We start from the raw sequence: 19,659 nt of genomic DNA, 5'->3' as shown, positions 1-19,659 counted from the left end.
ACTAATTTTTTTTTTTTCAGACAGAGTCTTACTCTATCCTCCAGGCTGGAGTGCAGTGGTGCAATCTCATCTCACTGCAACCTCCATCTCCCGGGTTCAAGCAGTTCTCCTGCCTCAGCCTCCTGAGTAGCCAGGATTACAGGAACCCACCATCATGCCCGGCTAATTTTTGTATTTTTGTAGAGAAGAGATTTCACCATGTTGGCCAGGCTGATCTTGAACGCCTGACCTCAGGTTATCTGCCCAACTTGGCCTCCCAAAATGCTGGGATTACAGGCATGAGCCACCACGCCCGCCCTTAATTCATTTCTAAATCACAAAATCTAAACAACAAGTGGATAGGAGCTACCATAGTGTACAAGGCAGCTGTAGAATCACAGGAAATTGTCAATGACCCTGTCCTGCTTCAAGTTGACTTTTCTCCCTCATGGTGAGACTCTAGATTCTTTCCTCTTCTCTCAAATTTTTTAGACTTTCAGGCTTAGACCATGAAAATAAGTTCTGTCCTTCCAAGAAAATAACGTTCATAACACTTACTGTATACCAGGCTGATTTCAGTGCTTTACCTGTATTAATTTACAACAACTCTGAGGCAGGAGCTGTGACTATGCCCATTTAACGGATGACAAAACTGAGGCACAGAGCAGTGCTGGAACTCTCAAAGTCACACAGGTAGCAGGAGGCAGAGCTCGGATTTGAACTCACTTTGGGTTCAGCAACTCACAGCTCTCACCTATGATATAATATTACTTCTGTGGTCAAAACACTTAGACCTGGATTTCACAGGAATCTTGTGCTTGCCTGGCTGCTAGGGAGGTTTTCATCACCTTCCTTATCTCACAGTTCAAAACCCAGGGCCTCCAAGCTCTTGCTACGGTGGCCGTTCACTGGCAGGAGGCTTCTGGGAAGGTTCTCCTTTTCTGTCATTTTTCTTAATTGTGGTTTTTTTGTCTCATTGGTGTTTATCTGCAGAACTTTGTTTCCTTCTGCTCAATTCATAATCAGAGTGCTTTTCCTTCTGGCTGAATTCATAAGTGTTTGTGCAAAAAGAGGTTGGCGCAGAGCCAGGCGACTGACGACACCCGGCTCATCTGGCAAGTGGATATCTAATTGTTGTATCTCGTTCTGCCATTCACAGCTCCTGCTGTGGGGCTGGGTCATCTGCCAGCTCTCCAAGGAGCTGGCGGGAAACCGCTGCAATCAGAGCGAACCCAGGGCCCGGGTGAGCCCGCCTCGACACAGCACTCCAGCTGCCCCCAGTGCCTTTTGGGGACACATCTGCTTTGCCAGGCAGGGCTGTGGGAGGGCCGCCTACCTCCTGTCCATCACAGGGAAAACCTACTCTTGTCCCGCGTCCCTTCCAGGCAGCCTGTGTGGAGATTGCTGCATTCACCTTTAATATGGCTAAAATGTTTTCCTTCAATGACAGTAATGCTGCCAGAATCCATCAAGACACCCAGGAACTGATGTGCTTTGGCAGATGGTGCTGGAAAGATGGGATTCCCGGCAGCCTTTGCATCCCTTGCTCACAGCCCACGAGCATCTCCACTGTCCAGCAGGTCAGGGCACGGTCTCTCTCTCTCGATCTTTCTCACGGTCTCTCTCTCTCACGATCTCTCTCTCTCATGGTCAGGGCAGAAAGAGAGAGAGTCCATCCGGAGCAGACTCAGATTTTAAATTAGTGTCCCCGATAATTTAACATGATCAATGGCTGAGGTATTTCACCAAGTTCAGGAGTCCCAGTTCTCAGAGACAGGCAGCCAGCCATGACTGTAAGACCTGGTCAAACTGTACAAACCAGACAGCAGGTCTCATCCCCTACCCGGGGAGCTCCAGAGAATATCAAAGACTGAAACAGCAGAGGGATGGTCTGGGTGGGGTCATCGTGGCTGGCAAGGGTCTGTGACAGCACCTTGTTAGGCTACTCCCAAGAGGAAATTTGGAGAGAGGGTGGGAGGGCAGCTCTCAGTGCAAGCTAAGTCTCCTGGAAAGTGACTTCCAAACTTTGGAGGATTGTGAGCAAGACGGGACCAACTTCTACCTAAAAGCAACTTCTACCTAAAAGAATGTTAATAGCAAGATAACTCATCCTAATATTGGTCCAAGCTAGGTCTTTATTATGCATCCTAAAGGCTCTGAGAATAACAATGTAACCTCCAAAAGGGCTGCAGGATTTGAGGAATCTCAGGCAACTCGCTTCCTTCTGCTCAGTGACTCCCCTGGAGCACAGCAAAGCAAGGAAACACTTAGAGCCAAGCTTGAGTTCTGAATTTCAAACACAGGGAGTCCATCTCTTTCTACCCAATTGTTCCCTAGAATCAGTAACTAACTCCTTCCCCTTAACGGCACATACTTCCTACCAAAGCACAAGCGCGATGGGCTGTCCATGAGCCTCCCCCAACCATGTGCACCTTGTGACATAAATTCTGTCACCCAAAGAGACCAGAAAAAATGCAAAACCAAAGTGGAGCCTTTCCTTGAATTATAGGTTCTAAAGAGTTTTGGACCCTCTACAAAACCCAAGAGTTAGGAATTGCCTGTAAGAAGCACCAGCTCTTGTTTTAAAGAGGCAATTTAAGAATAATAGCCATGCTGACACCACACTACGCTAAGGGAGAATTATGAACCTAATAAAACTAGCGATTTTCCAATGCTTTTGCTGCTGTAAACACTGACTATGCTAATTAAAGTGTAGAATAGTAAATAGCCACTCTTTTGCATCCAATTAAGTGTTCAGATTATTTCTCAAAAGTATTTGTTAAAAATAGCACTTCTGATAATCATGGGTCCCAAATAAACAGAGTCAAGTGTGGTGTGGTACATGTGTGAGAGTGTGTGCGTGTGTGTGTGTGTGTGTGTATGTGCACACATGTGTCTTTCTGGAGCTCATTTTATGGAGATCCCGCATAGCTCCCCAAATTCCTGTGAGACCAAATAAGAAAAATCACAGTTTTCTAAGACTACAGCTTGGGATATCTTTGGAAAAGGTGTGTATTGAGAACACAGCATATGGAAACTATTTCACGTTGGCAATATCTGTGATTTAACATTGCAAACATTAGAAATGCAACTGGTTCTTCAGAGTCACCTAAGTCCCTCATAATGGCAATATTAGCTTCTTCTAAATAATAAATTAGCCAGTCAAACTATGTTCTACAGCAGGTTAGAAGTTTCATCCTTCTAGTCAATGTCACATTTCAAGGCAAAGTCGATTTATATGTAAGTTAAACGAAGTGCTGTCACTAAAAATTGAGAATTATGTCTAATGCCAATCAGAAATGGAATAAATAAGTATTAGAGGATTTCCAAGTGAAAGCAACCATAGAAATGCTATCATCAGGAAGGAAAATGTATTACCTGCAGAGGTTACAGATAAGACGCTAGAACCCAGAAGAGAAAGAATCTCTGTAAATATTTCCATAAAGTTAATCAAGAGTGGCTGGGTACGGTGGCTCATGCCTGTAATCCCAGGACTTTGGGAGGCCAAAGAGGGTGGATCACGAGGTCAGGATTTCGGGACCAGCCTGGCCAACATGGTGAAACACTGTCTCTATTAAAAATACAAAAAATTAGCCGGGCGTGGTGGTATACACCTGTAATCCCAGCTACCCAGGAGGCTGAGGCAGGAGAATTGGTTTAATCCAGAAGGCAGAGGTTGCAGCTAGCTGAGATCACACCATTGTACTCCAGCCTGGGTGACAGATCATGGCTCCATTTTGAAAAAAAAAAAATAAAGAAAGAAAGAAAGTTAATCAGGGTGAGAATAGGATGAGTTTTTCACCCACAAAAAGAGATGAGATTCACGCATTCTTTCAGCATGCATTCCATCAATAGTGAGCACCTGCTCTGAGCTAGGCCCGTTCTAGGTCTCAGGAAATGAGTAACCAACCAGACATGGCCCCTGATTTGGAGCTCATATTTTAGAGCAGCTAAATGGATAGTAAACAAGTAAGCAAATTTAGATCGTCTTAAATTGGGGGAAGTTCTTTAGAGAAGCACTTCCATAAAGCTGAATCTCATCATAGACTATGACTGCCAGGTGGTAGGAAGGTAATATCTCGCTTGTGGATAGCAGAGCTTCTGAGGCCTTGCAAAGTATTTAGTACTAAGATTTCTGTCTTACGTCAAGTTCCCTAAAAGCAGAGCCTGAGGCAGGGATTAAATGCATGTAATTCATTCAGGAAGAACTCTCAGGAGATAGGAGTAAGGGAAACAGGATATGGCAGGGAAGGATCTGAGTGAGATGTGGTCTCAGCTGGACACCAGCTCCAGTCTGATCTCACAGGGAGCTCCAGAGGATGAACTGCACCACCATGTTATCCCAACCTAAGGTCTTTTGTTCTCCTGTGTCAGCTGGTCCCTGGCCAAGGGCTGCAGACTCTCTTGGGGCCCCAGCAGACTGGAGGAGAAGGAGCATGGTCTGTGGTCTACTCTTTTGTGCAAACCCACCCACCTCTTCCCCAGCTGACACTGCTGGAGGAGGAGAGGGAGAGATGTCATCTCCTCCTATGGCAACCTGTGGGATGGCAATGGCCCTTTTCCTGTTGGGTGTAATCTGCTGCCATCTCTTGCTGTCTGCAGCCTGACACAGAAGGGTGAAGGTCACCAGGTTCCACTGACAGCAGTCTTTGTCTCAAGCAGCAACCCTAGGACCGCGGCTCCCTTGCAAGATTCAGCCACATCTCATGACTGTCTGCAACACACCCCATGCCTTTGATGGAAGGAACCCAATGCCCCATGCTGCACCCATTTCTGCCAGACTGGGGCCCTGATCTCAATTTCTGTCTGCAGTCCCCAACTCTGGGGTCTGCAGACACATTTCACATCCATCCTTAGTACCTCCCAGGAGGCAGAAGCCAGAGGAAATAATCTTTACCCCAATGCACCTGACCATGCCACTTCACTGTATGCTCTTTCTCCCTCTCCAGGAAAAATCAAGCTTGTTGAATGCTTACCAATGTGCCCACGTGCATTTAGCCCCCACAACCACTTCATGGGGCAGCACTATCGTCCCCAAGTTACAGACGAGGAAACTGAGGAGAGCATTTATATAACATGCATCTAAGTGGTGGACAAAGGATCTAACCAGGCAGTGCGGCACCAGAGCACACATTTTTGTTCTTTAGGGAGATGCGGTCTCTCTCTGTCCCTCAAACTGGAGTGCAGTGGCCTGATCATAGCTCACTGCAGCCTTGAACTCCCGGGATCCAGCAATCTTCCTGCCTCAGCCTCCCGAGTAGCTGGGACTACAGGCATTCACCACCAACCCAGCTAATTGTTTAAAAACATTTTTCTAGATATAGGGTCTGATCCCAAACTCCTGACTTCAAGCGATCCTCCTGCCTCAGCCTCCCAAAGTGCTGGGATTACAGTCGTAAGCCCCCGCGCCCAGCCCAGAGCACACTTTTTTTTTTTTTGAGACGGAGTCACACTCTGTCACCCAGGCTGGAGTGCAATGGCAAGATCTCGGCCCATAGCACACTTTTAACCACCATATCATTCTGCCTCTGGGTAGGTCAGTCAAGCTCTGTAGCTGAGCAGATGTCTGTAGAGAGAAGGAGACATCAGTCTCCCCTTCTTCCAAACAGCCCCGAATTTTACAAGTGATTTTCTCAGATCCCTCAGCATCAGGAATGGGGATGAGCAGGGCAGCCTGTCCCCTCCGAACAGCCCAGCAGATATCCCAAGATTACATCTCATTGGCTCTGACTAGGACATGAGCCCAAAGCTGAACCGGTTGCTGTAGCCATGGCATGCAGCATCCTCGGTCCTCTGGCCAGGCCAGAGCCACATCCCACCTCCGGATCCTCGAGTTGAGTCAATACATCTTGAACCAGGCATGGACTGAAGCTCAAGGGGGAGTCAGAGTAATGTGACCCAGCCCAGCATGTAGTGGGTGCTGAGCAGGCAAGCATTCATTACCTACTGCACACACCAGGGAAGGCTTGTGGTGGCTTAGTCCCACGTGGGGGCAAAGAAAAGAGTGCCTGCTCCGTGCCAAAATGTGATGCCCAACACTGTATCTTAAAGCTAGCTGGCTTTTTAATCCCAGCTACTTGGGAGGCTGAGGCAGGAGAATCACTTAAATTCAGGAGGCAGAGGTTGCAGTGAGCCAAGATCACGCCACTGCACTTCAGCCTGGGTGACAAGAGAGAAATTCTGTCTCAAAAAAAAAAAAAAAAAAAAAAAAGCTAGTCGGCTTAATCCTTGCAAAGATGCCATCTACTTTTTGGCATTCTACAGGTAGAAACACTGAGACACTGGAAAATTTTAAAACTCACCACCAGCCGGGCGCGGTATCTCACGTCTGTAATCCCAGCACTTTGAGAGGCTGAGGCAGGAGAATTACTTGAGCCCAGGAGTTCAGGACAAGCCTGGGCAAATTAGCGAGATCTCATCTCTACAAACACTAAAAAAAAAAAAAAAAAAAAAAATTAGGACTAGGCACAGTGGCTCACACATGTAATCCCAGCACTTTGGGAGGCCAAGGCAGGTGGATCACTTCAGCCCAGGCGTTCGAAACCAGCCTGGCCAACACGACAAAACTCTATCTCAACTAAAAACACAAAACTTAGCTGGGCATAGTGGCACGTGTCTATAATCCCAGCTACTTGGGAGGCTGAGGCACGAGAATTGCTTGAACCCAGGAGTCAGAAGTTGCAGTGAGCTGAGATCGTGCCACTGCACTCCAGCCTAGGTGAGAGAGTGACACTGTGTCTCAAAAAAAAAAAAAAATAGGTATGGCGGTACATGCCTGTGGCCCCAGCTACTCAAGAGGCTGAGGTGGGAGGATCGCTTAAGCCCAGGAGTTCAAGGGTGCAATGAGGTATGATTGTACCACTGCACCACTATATATACACATATATATATGTATATGTATATAGTTATGTCTATATATACACATATATATATACATGTATACGTATGTGTATATATATGTGTGTATATATATAAAAAACACACATGCACAGATTCACCACCAACAACTCAGAAATTACCATCTCCCTCTTTTCTAAGGAATTATTTTTCATTTTGCCATCTCTGAAGTTAGAATACACCTTACAATCACTGGAATGTCACGGTCTTGTTGGCAGCATTTTTCTGCTTAGTAACCCATAAAATAATAGCACATCTTGTAACTAAAAGTGTTGTAGATGCTATGAGATCCTGGGGAAGCCCAGAATCTAACTCCACCCTGTCTGACTCCAAACACCACATATTTTCTATGTCTTTGGACTGGGGCACAGATGTAGATAACTCGAGCTTTGCTGATTGTGAGAAAGGTATGAGAAATGGCCCTGATGGAATTTTCTTCTTGTACTTTAAGGGGAAGAAAGCAGCATCATCCCACTATTCCAGGGGAGGTGCTAAATACGAGGGTGAGGCTGTCAAGCGGTCCCTGGTGGAGTCCTACACTCACCCAAACAGCAACGAGACAGAGCGGAGGGAGAACATCGATACCGTCATGAACTGCTTCAGCACAGAAGACTTTGACTTTGTGACTCTGTACTACAGAGAGCCAGATAACGTGGGACATCGATTCGGGCCAGAGGCAGAGAAGAGGAAGTTGATGATTCAGCAAATCGGCAGGACCATCGTGTATCTGGTGGGAGCCACTGAGAAGCACAGCCTGCAGAGCACCTCAGCGTCATCATCACATCAGACCATGGGGTGACCACCGTGAAGAAGAGACCCAACGTCAACAAGATCCCTTGACCAACTACATCAAGTTCAGGGTCTGGGTCAAGTTTGATATTGCGGGCTACGGTGGCTTTGGGCTGCCCCTACCCAAATTGGGGCAAGAGGAAGCCCTTTACCAGGCACTGAAGAATGCGCACCCTCACCTCCAGGTCTACAAGAAGGAGGAGTTTCCAGAACACTTCCATCTCGCTAAACATGACCGGGTTCTGCCAATCGTGATGTATGCCAACTCTAGTTACAGTATTAATGGGATAAGTTCATTCTAAAATGAATAAAGTCACCTTGGATCTAGGAGACAACCATTAGGGAAGGGTGGTTCTCAAAAATCAAACATAAGTGCACAGCCAGGCACGGTGGCTCACGCCTATAATCCCAGCACTTTGGGAGGCTGAGGCAGGTGTATCACCTGAGGTCAGGAGTTTGAGACCAGCCTGGCCAATATGGTGAAACCCCATCTCTACTAAAAATACAAAACTTAGCCGGGAGTGATGGCGTGCATCTGTAGTTCCAGCTACTCTGGAGGCTGAGGCAGGAGAATCGCTTGAACCTGGGAGGCAGAGGCTGCAGTGAGCCAAGATCATGCTACTGCACTCCAGTCTGGGCAACAGAGTGAGACCCTGTCTCAAAAAAAATATAATATAACATAATATAATAAAACAAAATAAAATAAAATAAGTGCACATACTACGAGTTGTAGCCCACAGGGTCCCAAATGTTCCCCACCCCCCGCCCAACCAATGCTGCCCCAAATTACCATTATACAAGATTAATGACCAATTCAACTGGACAAGGCTGATTTAAAAATAAAAATAAGGCTGGCCATGGTGGTTCACACCTGTAATCTCAGTGCTTTGGGAGGCCAAGACAGGAGGATTGCTTAAGGCCAGGAGTTCAAGACCAGCCCGGGCAACATAGGGAGACCCCATATCTACAAAAAACAAACAAATAAATAAATAGCCAGACATGTCAATGCATGCCTGTAGTCCCAGCTACTCAGGAGGCTGAGGTGGCAGGATTTCTTGAGCCCAGGAGGTCAAGGCTGCAGTAAGCTGTGATTGCACCACTGCACTCCAGCTTGAGCAACAGAGCAAGACCCCGTCTCTAAAAAATAAATAAAAAATAAAAAATAAACAGCAACTTCATTATTCAAAATTGTGCGTAGCGCTTCGCTAAACATTGAATAGCAGTTCTTTCATTTTTGTCTTCCCAACAACCCTATAAAATAGATGCTCTTAGTTCCACCATTTTAAAGAAGAAATCAAAACCTAGAGAGAAGTGACTTGAGATTAAAAATGTAAGCTTGGGCTGGGTGCAGCGGCTCACACCTGTAAGCCCAGCACTTTAGAAGGCTAAGGTAGGTAGACTGCTTGAGCTCAGGAGTTTGAGACCAGCCTGGGCAACACAGTGAAACACCATCTCTACAAAAAATGCAAAAAACTGTAGCTGGGCATAGTGGCACGTGCCTGTGGTCCCAGCAACTCAGGAGGCTGAGGTGGGAGAACTGCTTGAGCCCGGGGGTGTTGAGACTGCAGTGAGCCATGATCACGCCACTGTGAGATAGGAGGCAGGACTTGACTCCACAGGCAGGGCTTGGACACCAGACCAAATTGAGGACTAGCTAAAACAGGGCTGGGGCAGAAGCAGCTTTCCACCAGACATGCCCACCAATGTGCCATGTGAGTTTACTATTGCCATGGCAACACCCGGGAGTTACTGCCACTTTCCATGACAATGATCCAATGACTCAAAAGTTACTACCAATTTTCTAGAAATTCCTGCATAAACTGCCCTTTAATCTACATGCGATTAAAAGTGGGTATAAATGTGATTGCAAACTCTCTGCCTCTACTCTCTGCCTCCAGGCTAGCCCTGCCCTACAGGAGCAGTCACAGGGCTGTAACACTGCCTCTTCAATAAAGCTGTTTTCTTCTAAACCTCCAGCTTGCCCTTGAATTCTTTCCTGGGCAAAGGCAAGAACCCTCATGTGCTATTGAGAGGTGTCAGCGTTCTGGCAGCCCTGGAGCTCACTCTCGGTGCCTCCTCTGCCTGGGCTCCCAATTTGGCAGCACTTGAGGAGCCCTTCAGCCCACTGTTGTACTGTGGGAGCCCCTTCCTGAGCTGGCCGAGGCTGGAGGCGTCTCCCTCAGCTTGCGGGGAGGTGTAGAGGGAGAGGCGCGGGCGGGAACCAGGGCTGGGCGCGGCGCTTGCGGGCCAGCGCGAGTGCCGGGTGGGCACGGGCTCGGCAGGCCCACACTCGGATCGGCCAGCCAGCCCCGCCGTCCCTGGGCAGTGAGGGGCTTAGCACCTGGGCCAGTGGTTGCTGTGCTCGATTTCTCACCGGGCCTTAGCTGCCTCTCCGCAGGGCAGGGCTCGGGACCTGCAGCCTGCCATGCCTGAGCCTCCCCACTACCCGCCGTGGGATCCTGCGTGGCCCGAGCCTCCCCAGTGAGCACTGCCCCCTGCTCCACAGCGCCCAGTCCCATCAACCACCCAAGGGCTGAGGAGTGCTGGTGCTGGGCGTGGGACTGGCAGGTAGCTCCACTTGCGGCCCTGGTGTGGGATCCACTGGGTGAAGCCAGCTGGGCTCCTGAGTCTGGTGGGGACTTGGAGAACCTTTATGTCTAGCTGAGGGATTGTAAATACACCAATCGGCCCTCTGTATCTAGCTCAAGGTTTGTAAACACACCAATCAGCACCCTGTGTCTAGCTCAGGGTTTGTGAATGCACCAATGGACACCCTCTATCTAGCTAATCTAGTAGGGACTTGGAGAACTTTTGGGTCTATCTCAGGGATTATAAATGCACCAATCAGCACCCTGTCAAAACGGACTAATCAGCTCTCTGTAAAACAGACCAATCGGCTCTCTGTAAAATGGACCAATCAGCAGGATGTGGGTGGGGCCAGATAAGAGAATAAAAGCAAGCTGCCCGAGCCAGCAGTGGCAATGCGCTGGGGTCCCTTTCCACACTGTGGAAGCTTTGTTCTTTTGCTCTTTGCAATAAATCTTGCTGCTGCTGACTCTTTGGGTCCACACTGCCTTTATGAGCTATAACACTCACCTTGAAGGTCTGCAGTTTCACTGCTGAAGCCAGTGAGACTATGAACCCACTGGGAGGAACAAACAACTCCAGACATGCAGCTTTAAGAGCTGTAACACTCACCTCGAAGGTCTGCAACTTCACTGCTGAAGCCAGCAAGACCAGGAACCCACCAGAAGGAAGAAACTCTGAAAACATCCGAGCATCAGAAGGAAAAAACTCCGGACACGCTGCCTTTAAGAACGGTGACGCTCACCGCGAGGGTCCGTGGCTTCATTCTTAAAGTCTGTGAGACCAAGAACCCCCCAGTTCCGGACACACTATGCTCCACTTGGGGGCTCTCCTGCCCTGCGTCAACTGCGCTCTGGCCTGGGTGGCAGAGAGAGAAACCCTATCTTAAAAAAAAGAAACAAATGGAAGGTTAAGTGCTGCCCCCAAGCCTGCGTGGCTGATCATTATACAGAGTACACAAAGATCACCAAAAAATTCACCACAAAGGCCTCCCGCCACTAGTTCTTATTTGCCCATATCAAAAAATATGCAAGCCTGTTCATACAAAGACACACACAGATGCTCGTAGCAAAATTATTCATAATTGTCACAAGGTGGCAACAACACAAATGCCTATCAACAACAGTTGAATGGGCAAACAAGTACAGTCTACCCGTGTGATGGAACATTAATCAGCCAAAATATAGAATGAAGGGCTGATTCATGCTACAACCAGGATACACTTTGAAACCATTAGGCTAAGTGAAAGAAGCCAGACAAATAGTAGATGATTATATATATATATATATATATATATATATATATATACATACACACACACACACACACGCATATATGTATATATATATGCCCAGAATATGAAAATCCAAAGAAACAAAGTAGATTAATGGTTGCCAGGAGCCAGGGGTGGGGATAGTCAGGGGGAAATAAGGGGTGACTGCTAATGGATACAGGGTCTCTTCTGGGGTTATTAAAATTTCTAAAACTGATGGTGGTGATGGCTGCACAACTCTGTGAATATATTAAAAACCACTGAATTATACACTTTATTTATTTATTTAGAGACAGGGTCTGGCTCTGTTGCCGAGGATGGAGGGCAGTGGTGCAATCTCAACTCACTGCACCCTCCACCTCCCGGGCTCAAACCATCCTCCCACTTCAGCCTCCTGAGTAGCTGGGACTACAGACACACCCACCACACCCAGCTAATTTTTTTTGTATTTTTGGTTAAGACAGGGTTTTGCCATGTTGCTCGGGCTCATCTCAAACTCTTGGGTTCAAGCGATCCTCCCACCTCAGCCTCCCAAAGTGCTGGGATTACAAGTGTGAGCCACCATGCCCGGCCAAATTGTACACTTTAAATGGGTAAATTGTATGGTAAGTGAATTATCTTTCAGCAAGGCTGTTATTAAAAAGCAGCTTTAAGGGCCAGGCATAAGGGCCATGCCTGTAATCCCAGCACTTTGAGAGGCCAAGGCAGGAGGATCACTTGAGCCCAGGAGTTCAAGACCAGCCTAGACAATATGGCAAAACCTGGTCTCTACAAAAAATTTAAAAATTAGGCTTGGCGTGGTGCCTCACGCCTGTAATCCCAGCACTTTGGGAGGCCGAGGTAGGTGGATCACTTGAGGTCAGCAGTTCAAGACCAGCCTGGCCAACATGATGAAACCCTGTCGCTACTAAAAATATTTTTTAAAAATTAGCCAGGCATGGTGGTGGGTGCCGGGACTGAGGCAGGAGAATCGCTTGAACCCGAGAGGTGGAGGTTGCAGTGAGCTGAGATTACCCTACTGCACTCCAACCTGCTGGGAGACAGAGCGAAACTCCATTTCAAAAAAAAAAAATTAAAAATTAGCCAGCGGTGGCGGCTTGTGTTTGTAGTCCCAGCTACTCAGGAGGCTAAAGTGGGAGGATTGCTTGAGCCCAGGAGGTTGAGGCTGCAGTGAGCCAAGACTGTATCACTGCAATCTGGCATCAGCAACAGAACAAGACCCTGTTTCACAATTTTAAAAACAATTAAAAAACAAGCCTAAAGAAAACACAAAAACCAATGCTAACTGTGAGACATAAATGAGGTGGTCTATTTTTTGTTAACTACCAATTAAAACTTCATGGCAGAAACAAAGTTGAAATGATGCTATAGCAGGGCCCCGTGGCTCACGCTAGTAATCCCAACACTTTGGGAGGCTGAGGCGGGTGGATCACCTGAGGTCAGGAGTTTGAGACCAGCCCGGTCAACATGGTGAAACCCCGTCTCTACTAAAAATACAAAAATTAGCCAGGCGTGGTAGCGGGTGCCTATAATCCCAGCTACTCAGGAGGCGGAGGCAGGAGAATCGCTTGAACCCCGGGGGGGCGGAGGTTGCAGTGAGCCAAGATCGCACCATTGCACTCCAGCCTGGGTGACAGAGCGAAACTCCATCTCAAAAAATAAATAAATAATGAAATAAATGATGCTATAAACCTCATGTGAGGGAAGACTGCCCCAGGTACAGCTTGAAGAACCCTTGCTGTGAATAGGAGCCAAATGCGATAATTCTGTTTGCAACTTGCTTCATGTCAGCTTGTTGCAACTCCAGAGTGTAACAGGTATGAGAAAACTCATGGGGTTACTGTTTAATGTTGGTGGAAATATTCACATTAAAATACAACAGTTTATCACCTAAGGTATATTTTATCCCTCAAGTGGCCCGGAACACTGTGATTACTGCACACCAATCACACGCCCATAGCTAAGGCCTTGTCAAGGAGAAATTCCACAGTCACCTGGCCTATTTGTAAACCTGGTTTATGATGATTTGTAACAGGATATCTTGACAGTAGCATGAGGACATTTAACGAGACAAGAACATTCCCCACTGACCAACCAGATAGTTTGAGGGAACAGGATGCTGTGCTCAGTTTAATCTTCTGCTGAACCGACCATTAGGCAGAAAATCCTTTGGGTCAATGCCTCTCACTGAATCCATTTCTCATCCTGTCCACCTGCCTGCTTTGCAGTGCAGAGTAAAGTGGGCCTTCCTTGGCTCTCTTCAGGGACCAATGTGCTTGAGGCCATCATGAGGACATTCATTCTTTTTTTTTTTTTTTTTTGAGAGAGTCTCGCTCTGTCGCCCAGGCTGGAATGCAGTGGTGTGATCTCAGCTCCCCACTGCCACCTCTGCCTCCCAGGTTCAAGTGATTCTCTTGCCTCAGCCTCCTGAGTAGCTGGCATTACAGGCACGTGTCACCAGGCCCAGCTAATTTTTCTATTTTCTGTAGAGACAGCGTTTCACCATGTTGGCCATGCTGGTGTCAAACTCGTGACTTCAAGTGATCCACTTGCCTCGGCCTCCCAAAGCGCTGGTATTACAGGTGTGAGCCAATGTGCCTGGCAGAGGGCTTTCATTCTTGATGGACTGCTCCATAGCCTCAGAGACAGTCGGACTGGTTTCTTCAACCAGAGCGGAGCAGACAGGCAATTTCTGTATCCACCAGGGCAAATATTAGACCAACTCTTCAATGTGCAGAGAACATCACATTTCTTATATGCTATAATATCTGTTGGTCTAAAATATAAATAAATAGTATTGTAGCCAGCCACAGTGGCTCGTGCCTATAACTTCAGAGCTTTGTGGGGCTGAGGCAGGAGGTTCACTTGAGGTCAAGAGTTTGAGACCAGCCTGGGCAACATAGCAAAACCGCCCGCCCCTCACCGCCACCTGCCATCTCTACAAAAATTAAAATAATTAGCTGGGCATAGTAGTGTGGGCCTGTAGTCCCAACTACTTGGGAACCTGATGTGGGTGGATTGCTTGAGCCCAGGAATTTGAGGCTGCAGTGGGCTATGACTGCATCACCGTACTCCAGCTAGACCTTGTCTCAAAAAAAAAAAAGTGTTGCAATTGACATTATTTTATCATTTGAAAAGAAGGACAGACAAGAAAGGTATTTGGCATTTACCAAGCAATTACCCAGAATCCTCATCCCATCCTACCCCCACCTTTCCCCTAAAAATGTATGTATGTGTATTTATACCATAAAAAATACACTTATTTGGCTCTGGAACCAGATTGCTTGGGTTCCATTACCTGATCTAGCATTTGCTCCTGTTGACTCAGTGCAGTCAAGCTCTGTAACTCAGTTTCCCCAGCTGTAAAATGGGGAATGGCGCCTTTACTGGGCTGCCATGACGGTAAAGGAGGGAACGTATATTTATGAAGCATTCAGAACAATTCATGATACATAGTAAGCTCTATATATTTGAGCTTATTATTACTGTCAGTACGATTATCATCATCTTGCTGTTTCCAATGGGTACACTTTCTACATTCTCTTTCTTAAAGACCTTTAAATCCTTGGTATTCTCTCCACCACCACAGAGAGCAGTGTCCTTGTAGTTTAAATTCTCAAAGACTTCATGGATCCAACAAGCATGACATTAACAAAGGGACAGTTTTCTTTCAGCGGATTGGAATCTAAAATGGCTTTTTTATTGTTATTAGTTTTCAGAGAATTATAATGTGTTTCAGCAAAGGCAGCCATGGCTTTGATAATGTCCTCATGGACATGAACATCATATTCAGAGCTTTCGGGCCAGATTTCAAGAGGAATCGCCTGGCCGATCCTTTTAACAGCATCCACATCTACCCATTCGTGTGTAAGCTCCTGGGAGTCACCCCCAAACCCACAACGGCTCCCTGGCAGTCACCCAGGAAATGCTCATGAACTCTTATGACCAGCAGCCAGGTGAGACACAAAAGCAGCTGCCAGAAAACTGTCAGCAGAGTCTGCTCTGTCCTGACATAGAAAAGAATCAAAAAGGGGTCTCATGGTGGGGAGGAGGGAATTCAAGCAGAACAATCCTGTTTCCCAGCAGCTTTGGAGCCCCAGGAACAAGATGTCAACAGCTCCATACAGATAGCACGGGAGGTAGGGAATCCCTCGACCTGCTGGTAACATTTGACATAGTGCCTTTTAGGCAAAGGGACTGTGCTCTATAGAGAAAGTTGGGCTGTAATCTTTCCGGTCCTAAGGAAATCACTGTGTATAGTCTGTCTCCAAGATGCCCCTTCCAGATACGGAAATCAGCCCTCCTTCAATAGCACAGAAAGCTCTTCATAGGGGAGGAGCAAAACCCTGCTGTTCCCTCGATGCTGAAAAAAGGAGAAGGGAGAGTCTGAAACGAGACTGCAAATTCTCAAGACTTCAAACCCCTTCAATTTGGGTAATACAAAGGAAGAATAAAATCATCTCAGAATTTGCTATTGCCTTCTTTTGTGGGTTGTTTACAAACACTGGCTATCTTTCCTTTTGCCAGGAGAGACTTGGATACTGTCCAGTGATCTAACGAACGCTTAAAGCAATTACATGCAAAAAGGAGTAATGGGCTGGGCACAGTGGCTCATACTTGGGACTTTGGGAGGACGAGGTAGGAGGATCACTTGGGGCCAGGAGCTTGAGACCAGCCTGGGCAACATAGTGAGACCCTGTCTCTACAATAAATTAGCTGGATGTAGTGTCACATGCCTGTAGTCCCAGCTACTGGGGAGGCTGAGGCGGGAGGATCGCTGGAACCCAGGAGTTGGAGGCTGCAGTGAGCTGTGATTGTACTACGGCACTCCGATTCCTGCTTTAAAAAAAAAAAAGGAAAAGAGGGGAGGGCAGGGGTGATATACATCCTTTCTCTTCTTGTAAGCCACTGCCCATGATCTCCTTGTGAACATAAAGAAAGCAGTCCCTTTTGTACAAAACTAATTAAATGAAGGACCAATTCACCAAATTATGGAGGATTTTTCTGCTTTTTAAGTTTTGGAGTTTTGCTACAACTATTTTGTAGCCCCTCCCCTGTCCCACATCCCACTGGGAGCCTGGGATAAGCTGCGTCTGACTGTCAGTTACTGATAAGCAGGACATCCCACAAACAGATTTTCAGCGAATTGGCTTTCAGCAAATTGATCATTTGGCAAAGTGGTCATTAGGCAAATGGGTCATTTGGTGAAGAGGTCATTTAGTAAATCGGCTTTCAACGACTTGCCCTATGAGATTTCTCTAGAGTGAGCATTTTCTTGGGTTCAATGTACACTTCATTTCCATAATGAATACTCACTGGCGGCTAGATGGAAAACTTCCCAGGGAACCAGGAGCAGCCAGAACAGCCTCTTAATAATCAGGCAATTAAAAACCCTCTGGTTTCTTAACAGGAGGGAGGTACAGACGGCATCTGCTCTGCAAGGCACAGTGATCGGGCTCAGCATTGTCACTGGAGCTCTTGCGGTTCTGTTTGCTGCTAGTGTGACATACACAGCCCTTCGTCGGAAAAAGGACAGAGTGGTCTTTGGGTCTCCCGTAGTTGATCATCATATGTCGTGATAACCCATGACAACTCCTTGCCACATGCCACGGGAGGTCCAGCACTCCAAGAACCCAGCAGCCAGGGCCGGCTTCATGGGCTTGAACCTGGACAGTCCCACAGGGACACAGAGGAGTCCCCACTGTGGTTTAATAATCTGCCATCACCATCTTGAAATTCTTTATTTTTTAACAAGGGTGGCCAGGGATAGTGGCTCATGCCTGTAATCCTAGCACTTTGGGAGGCCAGGGCAGGCAGATGGCTTGAGCCCAAGGAGTTTGAGACCAGCCTGGGCCACATAGCAAGACCCCATCTCTACAGAAAATACAGAAATTAGCCAAGCCTGTAGTCCCAGCTACTTGTAGGCTGAGATGGGAAAATTACCTGAGCCCAGGGAGGTCGAGGTTGCAGGAGCTGAGATTGTACCACTGCACTCCAGCCTGGATGACACAGCTGGATCTTGTCTAGAAAAATAACCACAAGACCGAGCACGGTGGCTCTTGCCTGTAATCCCAGCACTTTGGGAGGCTGAGGCAGGCGATCACTTGAGGTCAGGATTTTGAGACCAGCCCGGCCAACATGGTGAAACCCCATCTCTACTAAAAATACAAAAATTAGCTGGACAAGGTTGTGCATGCCTGTAATCCCAGCTACTCAGGAGGCTGAGGCAGGAGAATAGCTTGAACCTGGGAGGAGGAGGTTGCAGAGAGCCGAGGTCGCGCCATTGTACTCCGGCCTGGGACACACGAGTGAAACTCCATCTCCAAAAAAAAAAAAAAAAAAAAAAAAAAAAAAACACAACAACAACGAGGGCCCTGCAGGTGGCTGAAAACAACAGAAATGTATTGTCTCGCAGGCCTGGATGCTAGAAGCCCAAAATCAAGGTGTCGGCCGGGCTTCACTTCCTCTGAAACATGTAAGAGAGAATGCTTCCTTGCCTCTTCTGGCTTCTGGTGGCCGCTGGCAATGCTTGGTGTTCCTTGTAGATGCATCGCTCCAGTCTCTCCTCCCTCATCACATGGCTGCCTTCTCCCTGTGTCTCTGTCTTTATCTGACATTCTCCTCTATTATTTTATTTTTTTGAGATGGAGTTTCCCTCTGTCACCCAGGCTGAAGTGCAGTGGCACAATCTTGGCTCACTGCAACCCCCGCCTCCCAGGTTCCAGTGATTCTCCCATCTCAGCCTCCTGAGTAGCTGGGATTACAGGCTCCCGCCACCACGCAGTGCTAATTTTGTGTTGTTAGTAGAGATGGAGTTTCACCGTGTTGGCCAGGCTGGTCTCCAACTCCTGACCTCAAGTGATCCGCCCACCTCACCCTCCCAAATTGTGCTGAGATTACAGGCATGAGCCACCACGCCCGGCCCTCATTCTCTCCTTTTATAAGGACACCTGTCGTTGCATCTGCTTTCTCACCAGCAGACCCCAATCCAGTATGACTCATCATTACTTGATTACATCTACAAATACCCTATTTCCTAATAAGGTCACAGTCCTGGGTACGGAGGATTAAGATTTCCAATTTTTTCCCTGAATCAATTTTTTCTGAGTCAGGGCCTCACCCTATCACCCAGGCTGGAGTACAGTTATGTGATTATAGCTCACTGCAGCCTCAAACTCCTGGGCTCAAGGGATCCCCTGACCTCAGCCTTCCAAGTGGCTGAGACTACAGGTGCACACCACCATCCCCAACTAATTTTTTTTTTTTTTGTACAGATTAGGTCTCACTCTGTTGACCAGGCTGGTCTCCTGACCTCAAGTGATCCTCTTGCCTTGGCCTCCCAAAGCACTGAGATTACAGGCGTTATCCCGTGCCTGGCCCTCTTTCTACACCTCAATCATTGTATCATTAGCCTGAGCTGCCCATATTCCTTATTCTGCCCTTCCCTGACCAATCTCCTCCTTTAACATAACTTCCATCTCGATATGATGGGGCCTGCTGGGCACTGCAAACAGCCTAAGAAAAGTGGAAACTTTACTTGACCTTCAATTCTATTACAAAGTCCACATTGAATGTAATTTATATTTGAACTATAAAATTTTCTGTAAGTTGAAACATGACCTATAAAGGTCTCTACACCCTGAAGCAACGTTTTAGAAAGAAATCAATAGGTCCTTTTCTGCAGAAACCATTAACCATAGGAGAGATAAAGGAAAAACTTCAATGTACTGATTGAACTTCCATGCCCATAGCTTAACTTCTAAAAGGCAACCATTCCATACCGTTAAACTGCCTTAGGTTGTTATTACTGTTATTAAAGAGACCCTAAAAGCCAGAAGTTGAACCTTGACTGTAGTTCTTGCACGTACACGCACAGTCTTGCAACTGAAACCACTCAGATTGTCCTAATGCTGCTCCCCATAGCAACACCACCTGGAATTTTACGTTTGGTTTTAAGTATCAGTCCTAATCTTCACTTGCACCCGAACACACCGCACCTGAGAGAGCCACGTGACATTAAAAAATCCCTTCAGTGAGGCCAGGCGTGGTGGCTCACGCCTGTAATCCCAGCCCTTTGGGAGGCCAAGGCAGATGGATCATGAGTTCAAGAGACACTCGTGGCCAACATGGTGAAA

At 47.2% G+C, this 19,659-nt stretch overlaps 1 pseudogene, besides 3 other annotated features; it reads left to right on the top strand.

Annotated features, from left to right (window-relative positions):
* ENPP7P15 (ectonucleotide pyrophosphatase/phosphodiesterase 7 pseudogene 15) overlaps positions 1 to 15,436 on the top strand; it is a 70,864-nt pseudogene extending 55,428 nt beyond the window's left edge.
* Positions 7,459 to 7,627: a silencer, noted in NCBI's record as "fragment chr11:3458797-3458965 (GRCh37/hg19 assembly coordinates)". NCBI's record gives its function as "represses an EF-1alpha promoter that drives an FKBP-Casp9 reporter gene in an ReSE screen in K562 erythroleukemia cells {active_cell/tissue: K562}" and the evidence as "EXISTENCE:reporter gene assay evidence [ECO:0000049][PMID:32094911]".
* Positions 9,431 to 10,049: an enhancer, noted in NCBI's record as "H3K27ac-H3K4me1 hESC enhancer chr11:3456375-3456993 (GRCh37/hg19 assembly coordinates)". NCBI's record gives its function as "activates a minimal SCP1, AML or CMV promoter by ChIP-STARR-seq in primed H9 embryonic stem cells {active_cell/tissue: H9 hESC(primed)}" and the evidence as "EXISTENCE:reporter gene assay evidence [ECO:0000049][PMID:30033119]".
* Positions 17,438 to 17,638: a silencer, noted in NCBI's record as "peak1172 fragment used in MPRA reporter construct". NCBI's record gives its function as "represses an SCP1 promoter by STARR-seq MPRAs in K562 erythroleukemia cells {active_cell/tissue: K562}" and the evidence as "EXISTENCE:reporter gene assay evidence [ECO:0000049][PMID:32103011]".

This window comes from Homo sapiens, chromosome 11 (assembly GCF_000001405.40).
Source record: "Homo sapiens chromosome 11, GRCh38.p14 Primary Assembly".
Taxonomy (NCBI): domain Eukaryota; kingdom Metazoa; phylum Chordata; class Mammalia; order Primates; family Hominidae; genus Homo; species Homo sapiens.
This window is presented reverse-complemented; position numbering and strand designations above follow the sequence as displayed.